At 40.0% G+C, this 13,111-nt stretch overlaps 1 protein-coding gene across 26 annotated transcripts in view; it reads right to left on the bottom strand.

The window, feature by feature from the left end:
• Nucleotides 1-13,111, bottom strand: part of HEPH (hephaestin) — a 106,193-nt gene that overhangs the window by 58,944 nt on the left and 34,138 nt on the right. For 17 of the 26 annotated variants that reach the window (NR_159801.2, XM_047442695.1, XM_047442694.1 and 14 more), the window contains 6 exons: nucleotides 12,026-12,237; nucleotides 10,892-11,042; nucleotides 9,168-9,380; nucleotides 6,343-6,556; nucleotides 2,586-2,725; nucleotides 1,674-1,805 (listed from right to left, as the gene is read on the bottom strand). Coding sequence is in view for 23 of the 26 variants with exons in the window: in XM_047442695.1 (XP_047298651.1) it covers nucleotides 1,674-1,805; nucleotides 2,586-2,725; nucleotides 6,343-6,556; nucleotides 9,168-9,380; nucleotides 10,892-11,042; nucleotides 12,026-12,237 (1,062 nt within the window). In the remaining 3 variants the exon portion in view is untranslated. Of the gene's footprint in view, nucleotides 1-1,673; nucleotides 1,806-2,585; nucleotides 2,726-5,990; nucleotides 6,099-6,342; nucleotides 6,557-9,167; nucleotides 9,381-10,891; nucleotides 11,043-12,025; nucleotides 12,238-13,111 lie in introns of all 26 variants that reach the window. The other 9 variants (XM_047442698.1, XM_011531074.3, XM_047442696.1 and 6 more) reach the window with 3 other exon arrangements.

Raw genomic sequence — 13,111 nt, 5'->3', positions numbered from 1 at the left:
TCTTTATGTCTAGATACCTATATTTGATCAACTTACAAATATACCAAATCCAACAAATTCAAAAGGGAACTCATCATCATCCAATACTCCAATCCTCCCACTCCATCTCAAGTCACCTTTCTCTTATGTTCCCTATCTTGATGAATGGCATCACTATTTTCCTGGTTGTCCAAATCAAAAACTGGGTATTATTTAAGAATCTTTCTCCAAAAACACCGATATCATTCAATAATACTTATCTTTCTCACCTTCAAAATCCAATTAATCACCATATCTTGCTTATTTTACCTCATTGATCTTTTTAGAATCTATTCTTTTTCCTTTACACCAACTTCAATCTCTTTGCCTTTGCACACTGCATTCTTTAAATCTGGAACTTCCTTTTCCCTGCTTTTCTTCCATACTGTACTTTACCTTCACCCATATGTCCCTTTTTTCATCCTTTAGGTCACCTGTTTCCAAAGTGTAGTTTCTGAACTAGCAGCATGAGAACTTATTTGAATGAGCAAATTCCTGAGCTCCATCACACACCTACTGAATCAGAGACTTTCAAAGTTGATTCCAGCGATCTGTGTTTTAGCAAGCCTCTAGGTGATCCTGATACATGCTAAGGTTTGAAAACTACTGATTTAGGTCTCAGCTGAGATATCACCTAATCTGGAAAACCATTCCTGACTATTCAAACATTAGATTAAATACCCTTTTCTTCACATGCCTATCACACTGTAAAAACTCCTATTAACACTTAACACACTGGATTATAGTTACCAGTTTTACCTGTTTCTATCATAACAGCTCAAGTTTCTTCAAGACAGGAGCAAGTGTTCACTACTGCATCGATAGATTCTAAAGTTGTTCTTGTCACCCAGTAGGCCTCCAGTAAGTGTTTATTCAATGAATGAATTAATAAAAGAGAATGTTGACAAGATTATGATTATTCTATATTTAGTATTAGGAGCTTAGTATGTGACTGGGGTTAGAATTCAGTCTGCAAGAAGGGTACAAGAACTTTATTTACTGGGCTAAGGGCTGAATGATCAGCTTGTGGCCTAGGTCACATCACTCTCTAGTCAAGATTAGGAGCTCATACTGTATCCAAGGGTATATAGAGATCTGAAACAGGAATATTAGCCAAGTCTAAGCCATAGCCTATTCGGGGATTGAGAAAATGAGTATTTGATAGAGAAAAACTCAGGCTGTGGCTTAGTTTTGGCTATATTCCTATTTCAGGTCTCTAAGCTCATATATATATATATATATATATATATATATATATATATATATATATGTATGTATATATTTGAGATGGAGTCTTACTTGTCACCCAGGCTGGAGTGCAGTGGCATGATGTTGGCTCACTGCAGCCTCCACCTCCTGGGTTCAAGAGATTCTCCTGCCTAAACCTCCCGAGTAGCTGAGACTACAGGTGCACACCACTGCACCCAGCTAATTTTTGTATTTTTGGTAGAGATGAGGGTTCACCATGTTGGCCAGGCTAGTCTTGAACTCCTAACCTCAAGTGATCCACCCGCCTCAGCCTCTCAAACTGCTGGGATTACAGGAATGAGCTATCACTCCAGTCTGAAGTACATTAATTTTTTAAGGAAAAATCCAGAAGCCTGAAGCAGACGTGATGCATGTCCTTTGTTCTTTCACTAAGTGTCCCCACTCACCAGGCTCAGCAGCCAGTGGCCAGACAGTAGTAGATTCTAGCACTCCATGAGCATGCACAGAGTAGGGGCGGCTGGCATTATTCTTGAATACCACAGTCAGGATATCACCAACTTCACCTTTGATAAGTGGACCTAATGTAAACAAAAATAATTAAATAAATAAAGTTTCATTAATGCAGGAGCACAGGGAGCATTAAAGAAAGGGACATATATGAGCACTTCATAGAATTAGTGGTTTACCCTGACAAAACATCCTTCTAAGACCTAGAAGGCATGGCTGGCTCCATTTTAAGATTCAGAAGTCCTTAAACTGTTACTACTACCCACAGGATGAAGGTACTTCAATGACAAGATTATACTTCCAATTACCTCCACTTTTCCCACCCCTACCCTCTATCTATAACAGCCCAAGGGTCTAAAGAATCAAGGTGCTGTGGAATCATTGACGATAAAGAGTGATAAGTTTGGCAGACAATAAAGAATTGAGAGGATCTCTTTAGGAGTCAGTGGGTCCCTTCTGTACCATAACTAGAATAAGGGGGAAACCACCTAAAGCAATAATTAAACAGCGGTACAATGAAAAAACTGATTCCTTGTGTATATATATAGTTTTTTCACATTTTGATGTTCCTAAGTTATTCTGCCCCTAGCATTTATTACAACTTACCATCCTCAGAGACTCATACCTTGAAGCTATAGAAAACCCAGTAAAATCTGGTTCATGAATTCATGATTTCCTTCCTCCCCCTTCACTGTTTATTGTCATGGTTGTTTCATAAAATATTCCATAATTCCAGTATATCATATGAAAACATTGAGAATGGGGAATAGTGAGGCCATCCTGGTATAACATAGCTTCCCTAGGTGGAGTTCAGGCTGCTAAACACTAGGAGGGAAGTAGAATTCCCTTACCCAAGATTCCCAAGTGTTCTTCTGGTCCAGTCCTTGGCCGAGGGATCCTGAATGTACCATCAGTGTATTCCCTGAATACAGCTTTCTTGTATCTGGAACCCAGGAGCCCATCCTTGTTGCTCAGGAAAATGTAACCATAACTAGAGGAATCCAAAGAGTACTATCAGCACCTGGCCATCAACCCCTCATTTTCATTTGAGTATTTATGGGGAAGCTAAGTCAGAACCAGCTTCATGTCACAGACAGAAAAAAAAAAGGGGGGGGACCTATTTCTTTTTTTTTCTTTTTTTTAAATTTATTTATTATTATTATTATTTTAGACGGAGTTTCGCTCTTGTTGCCCAGGCTGGAGTGCAATGGCATGATCTCGGCTCACCACAACCTCCGCCTTCCGAGTTCAAGCGATTATCCTGCCTCAGCCTCCAGAGTAGCTGGGATTACAGGCATGCGCCACCACGCCCGGCTACTTTTTGTATTTTTTAGTAGAGACAGGGTTTCTCCATGTTGGTCAGGCTGGTTTTGAACTCCTGACCTCAGATGATTCACCCACCTTGGCCTCCCAAAGTGCTGGGATTACAGGCATGAGCCACCACACCTGGCCCCTATTTCTTCTAATGTCAGACTTCTCACCACATTGGCTGCATAACCACAATTAAAGTTGGCAGGTATGCCATACACAGTGGCTCACACCTGTAATCTCAGCACTTTGGGATGCTAAGGCCGGTAGATTGCTTAAGCTCAGGAGTTTGAGACCAGCCTGCCCAACATGGCAAAACCCTATCTCTACTAAAAATTAAAAAAAAAATCAGCTGGGTGTAGTGGCTTGTGCCCGTAATCCCAGCTACTTGGGTGGCTGAGGCACAAGAATCACTTGAACCTGGGAGGCAGAGGTTGCTGTGAGCCAAGATCATGCCACTGCACTCCAGCCTGGGCAACAGAGTGAGGCTTTGTCAAAAAAAAAAAAAAAAAAAAAAAAAAAAAAAAAAAAAAAAAAAGATGGCAGGTTTCCTTGTTTGCCATCATCCAAATACAAATTTGGTATATAATTCATACTATAAGAGCACTGGGCTAAGAATCAGAAGCCACAGGCTTTAGCTCCAGCCCTAATGATGTCTTGATGAAATTAGTTTTACAAAAGGCAAGATACAAGGTGGCAGGAAAGTATTAACTACTGCTGCAACCAGAGGGCAAAGGATGGTGAGACATAGGGAGGGAATGAAATCTTACAGATTTTCTCCTTATAGGATTCTGTCTAGTTTACAAACAGATTTATCATTTGATATTTCTAATAGGCCTATGGGGTAGGTAGGTGCCAGAGGTGCAATCAATTGCACAGAGATGACAGGACTTATTCTACAAGTGACATTGTTAGCCAGAAAGTGAGCCAGGATTTAGATTCAAGTCTGCTGCTCCTTCCCTCCCTCGTTTTCTAGTCCTGTTCTTTCATCTTATACTGCATCATTTTCAAGATGAGTATACCCAGGTTCAGAGACGGGAAGTCACTTTTTAAAATTTCCAAAAACTGAAACAATTCAGCAAGCAAAAAACAAATCACCCCATTAAAAATGGGCAATATATGGGTGTGGCAGCGTGCACCTGTAGTCCCAGCTACTTGGGAGGCTGAGGCAGGAGAATTGCTTGAACCTGGGAGGTGGTGGTTGCAGTGAGCCAAGATCACACCACTGCACTCCAGCCTGGGTGACAGACTGAGACTCTATCTCAAAAAAAAAAAAAGCATGAAAAATAGATCATTCTATCAAAAAGACACATGCATTCATATGTTCATCACAGCACTATTCACAATAGCAAAGACATAGAATCAACCTAGGTGCCCATCAGTGGTGGACTGGATAAAGAAAATGTGGTATGTACAAACAATGGAATTCTATGCAGACTTGAAAAAGAATGAAATTATGTCCTTTTCAGCAACATGGATGTACCTGGAGGCCATTAATTTCTCAGCAAATGAATGCAGGAACAGAAAACAAAAAAGTTCTCACTTATAAGTGGTAGCTATGCATTGGGTACATATGGACATAAAGATGGCAACAATAGAAATTGGGGTGGAGGGCAAGGGTTGAAAAACTATTGGGTACTATGCTTACTACCTATGTGATGGGATCTGTACCCCAAACCTCAGCATCACATAACATGCCCATGTAACAAACCTGCACATGTACCCCCATACCTAAAATAAAAGTTGAAATTAATTAAAAGAAAGATTTAACAAGAGACACTGGGGATTACTAAAGGGGGAGGAGGGATGCGGAAAACGGTTGAAAAACTAACTATTGGATACTATGCTCACTACCTGGATGACAGGATCATTTATATTCTAAAATGTAGCATTGCACAATATACCCATGTAAGAAACCTGCACATGTACTGCCTGAATCTATAATAAAAGTCCAAATTATTAAAAAAACCATTCTCACTTGGGCCCTACCTGAATGCTAGCAACTAATATTATATTTTTAAAAAACTGATGTAAATATCTCTTTTCCTTTTTCTTTTTTTTAAATTATAAGATCTTGTTAGAAGTATCTCACTGGGTTCTGATCAGAAACAAGTGAGAGGAACTAAATAAATAACTGATTTCTACATAAAGTCAAATTTTATTCTCAGTAGTTGCTGATAATTCAATTGTGGCTTAAATTAGTGTTTTCAAAGTCAGTATCAATTAGTAACATATTTTCCTTTTAGCATGTATATAGACAGAGGTGATAGATGGAATCTTCAAAAAAATGTCCAGCCCAGTTATCTGCTTCTGTTTACAGAAAACTTAGCATACATTCCATGGATTTTTGTTTTCATAATTGTATGTCTATCTGAACATCAAAAATCAAGAATTAAAAATAAAGTAAAATTTTTAGATGTTTAGCAGGAAGACTTCAACCTTCAACGAACAACGCAAAGAGTAAAAATTGCTAAAGTGTAGTGACAGCACCAAAAACAAAGTAGTGGAGACTGCTAATTTGTATCTCCATTTCCGTTCTCTCCTTCTTTTTTAGTAATAGAATCACCTAACTTTTAGCTGAGCACATGGCTGACTAATTAGAGATTACATCTTTTAGACTCTTTTTGCAGCCAATTATGGCCATAAGAATTAGTTCAGAACAACAGAGTATAAGAAAAAGTGATATATACAATTTCCATGCTGTGTCCTTATAGACAATGCTGCTTGCCCTGGACTTCTTTCTTTCTTTCTTCATGATAGCCGGGAATAGCTACAACTGGAACAGACATCTTGGCCCCAGAAAGGAAAGCAAGTGCTGAGGATGATAGGGTTCACCTGCCAGCCCTGAATTGCTCATATTTGTATTATTATGTGAATAAGAAATAAAATTCTATCATATTTAAATCACTCTGTTTTAGACATTTTCTGCTACATAGCTTAGTCTGTACCTTAATAAATGCAATGCCATTTTGTCAAGGGACAGCTGAGCTTGAGACATTCAATCCCTTGAGTAAATCCTGTAAAATTTAAGTCCCAGGGTAAATACTTCCAGCTAACTGAAAGAAGAGAGACAAAGATTAAGAGGGTGAAGGTGTGGGCAAGCTTTATTCCCTCCCTATATCAATATGGAAGCAGCAGTGAGCTAGAATTCATAAGAGCTGCATTATAGCCCCATCTCCCAAATCTGTTGGTATCACATTAGGAGACCTGAGATAAGAGTCTCCTCATCTCAGAATTTCAGTATTCTCATTTGCAAAATGTTTTTCTAAAAGTGTAATCTCTCCATTTATGAAGCCTTACCTGTCCTTCTCAGACTGGTTGTGCCATTCCCGTTCCCAGCTCCGGTCAGGGCAATAGTCCCACTCTACTTCTTCTGCCATGATATAGTAGATTCTTGCAGCTTGGTAGCGTTGGCGAGGGGTGGCTTGGTGGCCAGGACACTGGGAGACATTATAGATTGCCCTCATCCCTGCTTCTCGATGGCTGCCTGCCTGGCAATAAATCTCAAATGTCCCTGAGGGAGGATCAGAGAGAAAAATCTGACTCAGAACATCCCTGGGTAGTGCCTGGGGGATTTCCTGCCTTTCCCTAGGCATACTGCAGAAAAGAGTTAGTTTCAGATAGTCTCAGATAAGGCTCTTGCCTTAACTACACATAGATAAAAGAGTATTTAAAGTTTATTGAGAGTAATGGGCTCAAAGGTTAAGAGCTCCGGCTCCAAAGCTACATACACTGGGTTTATTAAAACTAAACTCTGCCGCTAGAATAACCAACTTCTTCCAGGGTGTTTCTAGTTTTAGCACTGTAAGTCCCATATTCCTAGAAACCCCTCAGTACTAGGCAAACTGCCATGGTTGGTAACCCTATCTTTCATTTATTATATATAAATCATATATATATACATATATAAAAATATATTATGTGTGTGTGTGTGTGTGTATATATATATATATATATATATATATGCACACATAAAACCTTGTGGCAATTGCTAAACCTCTGTGTTTTTCAGTTCCCTCATCAGTAAAATGAGGATTATTTTACTTTATTTGGTTGTTTTACAATTAAACACAATAATTTGTGAACAGTGCTTAGTATAGAACATATTCAATGTTCAGTTAAGTGATGCTATAAATAAGTAAATATAGCTGTAATAATTCTTATTCCAAGAAAAACATTGATGAGTTGTCTCCTATCAAGTACCAAAGAAATAAAGTAGACTTCAATAGTTAGGTAAAAAGAAAGAGAATGTCTTGATTGCAGAGGGATGCTTACCTAAGACAGCTTTAGAAGGTCCTTCACTCATTTTTTACAATGGAATGTGCAGGTAACAGTCTTAAATGTCTGTGTTGTGAAGTTGCCTGGACCAGATCTTAAGCTCCAAATTTCTAACTCAAGGATACTCAAACTCAATGTCGATCAAAAGAAGCTAAATTTCTTAGAACATTACTCTCATTGTTTCCTTACTTTGCTGCTCAGTGCTTATCCCATCACTACAAACTCTTCTTCCTGGCTTTCAAAGCCTTCTATGAGTTGGCACCAAACTACCAATCCAGTTCCACCTCCCACACATTGTCTCAAACTCAACTAGCACTCCAACTACATGGAACTCTGACTGTTTCTCTCACACATCTCATTCATTCCTACCTTGAAATCTTCATTCATTTTGTTATCCTCTTTCTGGAACTTACCTGCCCACCCCACCCCCAAGTATCTATGAGAGTCCACTCATTATCCAAGACTCAATTCATGTTTCTTTTCCAGAAAGCCCTCCCTGACTATTTTGGCCCAAATAGAGTTCTACATTCTTCACTTCTCCACCTCTAATGCACTTTATATCTAAACCACATGTTAAAGGGCTAAGTGCCCCTCTCTTTTAAAATGATCCCTTCTACTAGTTTATAAACACGTTGAAAGAAAGGGTCTACTCATTTCTTTCCACATCTACTTCTTCTATTTCCCTTACCACCGTTATCTATTGCATCAGTAAATCCTATCAGCAATTCCTTCAAAATTATTTTTTCGTTTAAACTGCCACTTCCCGAGTCCAAGCCACAAGCTTCTCTCACAGAGAAAACTGCAATAGCCTCCAAATTGTCCTTTCTATTTCTGAGGAGACCAGCTTTATGTCAAGTGTTTGTCAAACTCAGGACTAGGTTAATATTATTAAAGCGTTGAAGACACTTGTTCAAGGATGTTTTTCCCCCCAGATATGAATGAAATTTACAGGAGTAAAACAAAAGTTTAATAGGAACTGCGTGGAGCTGACAGGTTGTTCTTACAAACACTATTGCCATCTAATGGCTGGAAAAAAAAATACACCATAGGGACTAAAGAAAAGATAACTGCTCTATTATGAAATTCTAGAAATACATAGAATCTGAAGAAACATTATAGTCAAATATCTTCATAAAAGGAAGAAAAAGGATATAGAGGGAAGGAGAGATGGAGGGAGGACAAAAGGACAGAAGGAAGGAAGGCAGAAAGGAAAGAATCAAGGCAGGAAATCTAGCTAGAGAGAAGGGAAGTAATTAGACCAAAGTTACGCAGCAAGTTAATGAAAGAGCCTGAACTAGGGCTCCTGTGTTCTGATTTCCAGGCTGAAATTGTTACATCACCACACACACACACAAACACACACACGGGGTGGCAGGGGGCAGAGGGTGGGGCGCATCATGGGTAGAAAGAGAAAGAGAGAGGGAGAGATCAGAAATGAGTCTGTAGAAAGCCTCACAGAATATCAATTTGATAGCACTTATAAGTGCATTTTATTGACCTTCCTCCCAATAAAAGTACTGTACCTATAAAATCTCTGTGTTGTCAAGTCCACTCCCTGCCATATAAGAACTTCACTAAAGCTGAGCAACATCCCAACTTCCCTTCTGTTGTTCCAGAAAAGAGCTTCCTCCACCTTCTACTAACTATTCTGCCTGCAGCTGAGTAGGGAATCCAAGTAACCAGAACATGGAGAGCACATTGAAGAAGAAAAAGACAAGTGTTTTTAAAAACTTCCTAGAACCCTTAACATGCCTATTATTTTCTCTTCACCATCCCTCCCTCTTCCCGACCCCATTCCTGGCCCTATACCCAACAAAGCCTCTAGGGCCAGCTGCTAAGGCACTTACCAAGGTTGTCAGGCTGCATGATGGCCATGACAAAGGTATGAGGAAAGAGCATAGCTGCACCCTTCCTCATGCCCTGAAGCTGCACAGTGTTGCCCTGGAACATGACTCCATGCACATCAGTCTCTGTGCCCAGGCCGAGCAGGTGCCAGGCCACTGTGTCACCCTTGCACATGTCCAGCCTGGGCAGGTTAGAGAACAGAAACCCATTAATGGCTGGAAAACAAAAACACAAGACAAGGTGGGGAGATGAGACCAGACTACTCCAGCACTGGCCAGGAGCATGGCATCAGCTATGTACTATGGTTTCACACAACTTGAAACTGCTGAGTCATCCTCAACACCTCTGCCTTCCTCTCTATGCCACTTTAACTCTACTCGTGAATATCTCTGTCTTTGGGATGAGTGCTCAACTGTCCTTTCTGGCCTCACCTCCACCATGATCCACATCCTGACAACATTGAACTATTCTCCACTACCAAACACACACACACACACACACACACACACACACCAATCTCTCCTATTCCCTATTTCTTGAAACTCTCCTTCCTTGGTTTCTGTGGCAACATACTTTCTGGTCCTTTTACAACCACTCTGATTGTTCCTTTTCCATATAGATCTCATTTTCCACGCCCCCATACGTGTTGGGGATCTGAAAATTCCATCTTCAGCTCTCAACCTGTTTCCTCCTCTTCATCTTCACTGCTACTGCCCTGGTTCTGGCCCTCATCCTCCCTGGCCTGAACTAAAATAGCCTCCTCTCTGGTACCCCTACCTGCAGTCTGTCCTCCCATCCTCTTCCATACACACACACACACACACCATTGTCCTGTGAGCTCTATTTTTCTCTGCATTACCAAAGCTTTAAATATTGTAGGTGCTTTGATAATACCTGTTGACTTTTCACATGATTTCCTCTTTCTGGAATAAACTTCCCTTATGGTCTCTTTCTATGGCATCCTACCACTTACCTGTCGTATCTTCGTTCAGCTATACTTTACTCTCTCTTCGATCCATGAAAATTTTATCCCACAAAATTCTGCAGTATCAGTTGCCATGGATTGTAACTGATATACTTTCTGGTGATTTACTTACAAATCTATTTCCTGCACTGGATTGACATAACAGGAAGCATATCATTTTTTTTCTATATCTATGTGACTGCCTGAGCACCTAGCACATTACCTAGTACCAATTAGGCGCTCAGTAAATTCTAACTGGAATGAACTTTGCTCATGAGATGGTTTTACTTTTTCCAAATGATGAAACTAACTAGTAATGGGAATCAAGAGATGGAGCATTTCAAGTGAAGGGAACAGCACTGCAAAAGCATGAAATCAGCATGTTCACAAAGAAAAATAGCCCCAGTTGGCTGGAGTATGGGGGGGGGGGACCCAAGGTACTAAAATATAAGGAAGAGGGGAGATAAGATTGGAAAGGTATCATCTGGCTTATTCTTCACAATCTCTTGTAGATTTCTTGTGCACACCCTCATTTTGCAGTACTTTCTTCCAGTTTCCCCCATACTGTGTAACACAGGACACAGCACCCAAAGGTACTAAGTATAAGATCTGTTGTGTTCGGTTGAGCCTCTCAATCTAGCTCGCCTCTTGGACAGAGATGACCAATAAAATCAGTGTTTTCAGGATTGGTCATGATTACGGTTAAAGTTAGATTTTACTTGGGACCCTCAATTTAGCCCAGGGCAAAAGTACTCCCCATACCATGCATCCGATTGGAGTCTTGGAAGCCCTCAATATCCTCTGAAAGCAGTCGGAAATCCAACATAGCAGCTGCTTGATTGGCATTGCTGTACCAGCTCTTGTTCTCATCCAACACAGTGAAGAGAAGAAAGAATTCTTTATCCACCCCTTTCTGCAGGCCCAATAGAAGAAAGTAGAGGGAATAATGACAATAGTTTCAGCAGTTGTAGACTGTGTCGTTACAGATCAAGGGATGCCAGATTCTTTCCCATTTCCTTTTCCCATTTTGAGACCATACCTCCTATCCAGAGCTGCAGCAGTTTTTCCTTAGGTAACCTCAAATTGCAGATGAGAGAAGAATGTCACAATAAAAGTACAAGCCTGACAGGGAAGACTGTATGAAAGTGGGCAGGGAAGGAGCATAGGATAAGAAATAAGAGGTATAGAGTGTAAAAGAAGAGAGATGGTAATCACCTGGGGAGAGGAATGAGGGGAGGTGGCTAGAAAAGCAGGGGAGGGTCTTGGGGGGAAACTAGAAAATAAAAGATAAGTAATATCAGTGATAATTATTGTTACCACTAACATTTACTGAGTGCTTAATATGTGCCAGACACTGTGCTAGGCACTTTATATGGGTTATTTTAATTAATCTTCACAGAAATCCAAGGTGTCTTCTTCCATCGTTATCCCATTTTTACAAATGAGGAAACGGAGTCAAAGAGAAGTTAAGTAGCTCACCCAATGTTACACAGCTAGAAATTGTGGGCTGAATACAAAAGAAGACAAGCAAATATTAAAGCAGATTTATGGATCAGGAGCAAGGTTTAGGGGCCACCGAGGTGAGGGAGAGGGAAAGGGAGAGGGGGAGAGGGAAAGGGAGAGAGAGGGAGGGAGGGAAGGAGGGAGGAAAGAAGAAGATGATGAAAGGATATCATGAATTATCTGCAAGGCTAAGGAAGATATATATTTGTCAGTACAAAAAATAACATGCAAGATAGTATGAGGTCACCAACTATTAATTTCTGATGGACCAGCTTGATTATTTTTCTTCTATTCCCTAAACTTTAGAACCCAGTTCCATGCTTAACTCCTATCCAGCAACCCAGCTTCATCCTTCTCCCAGCAGGCTTTCCAGCCAGATAACCCTGACAATACCTGCTTGCCATCTGCACCCAAGGCACCAGCCCTGCACACCAGCAGCGGGCCCACCAGGCCAGAATTTGTGTCTCTTATGGGATCTGCAGCAGAGAAGTACATCCAAGTGAGACAAGCAGGATCCTGAGCAGTGGGACCGGCATGAGGGGGGACTGTCCAGCGGTATGTTACTTTCTCAAAGGGCTTGGCAACCAAGCCAGGGTAAGATGAGCCTGTAGTGAAAATATGGGACTCATTACTTAGATTGACTAGAATGAGAATCATCAGCTCCAAACAGTGAAATAAAGATTATGAACTACAAAGGCATTTTGGAGCAGCAGTAGCAGCAACATGGAATATTGAATAATGAGGAGAACTCTGGTCAAGGAGTCAAGAGATGAGTTTATTTTCTCGTTCTTCCATTACTTGCTATATGAAATGCAGCAATTTAATCTTCCCTATGTTTCAGTTTTCCAAAATCATAGGACTTTGGGACTAAAAATGGACTTTAAGACTTATTTGGAACATCTCTCACTTGAAAACATACATTAATCTGCTCTTACATCCCTACTTCTGCTTAAAACTCTCCAGTGATGGGGGACTCACTACCTGCCATTATAGTCCATGTCATCTTTGAACAGCTCTGATTATTTAATTTTTTTCTTTTAATATGTATTATGTACATGTGGGTGTGTATATGTTATGTATGTATGTATATATATACATATATATATAAAACACTAAGGCTGTAATTTCTAAAATGGACACAAGACATGGTCAAGCAATGCACAGACCTTTTTCAAATTTTCATGCCATCAGTAATCAAAGAAGTACAATTGAAAATAGCTAGATAACTTTTTTACAAATTAATTTAGCAAAGATTTTACAAATTGTAATAATGCATGATGGTAAGAAGTGGTTTAGATGGCACCTACCCTACTCACTCACCTATAAAGAGTGTAAATGTAAAAGGGAATAACACTTGAAAAAAAATATAGACAAAATTTGAAAAAAAAAAAGTACACCAAAATGTAGACAAAGCTATTTCTTTAAAAGGTTCATATGCACAAGTAGAATAATATATGCAATAAATACTGAATGTTCAAC

This window comes from Homo sapiens, chromosome X (genome assembly GCF_000001405.40).
Source record: "Homo sapiens chromosome X, GRCh38.p14 Primary Assembly".
In the NCBI taxonomy this organism is placed as follows: domain Eukaryota; kingdom Metazoa; phylum Chordata; class Mammalia; order Primates; family Hominidae; genus Homo; species Homo sapiens.
Note: the sequence above shows the minus strand (reverse complement) of the source record. Positions and strands in the feature narration are given on the sequence as shown.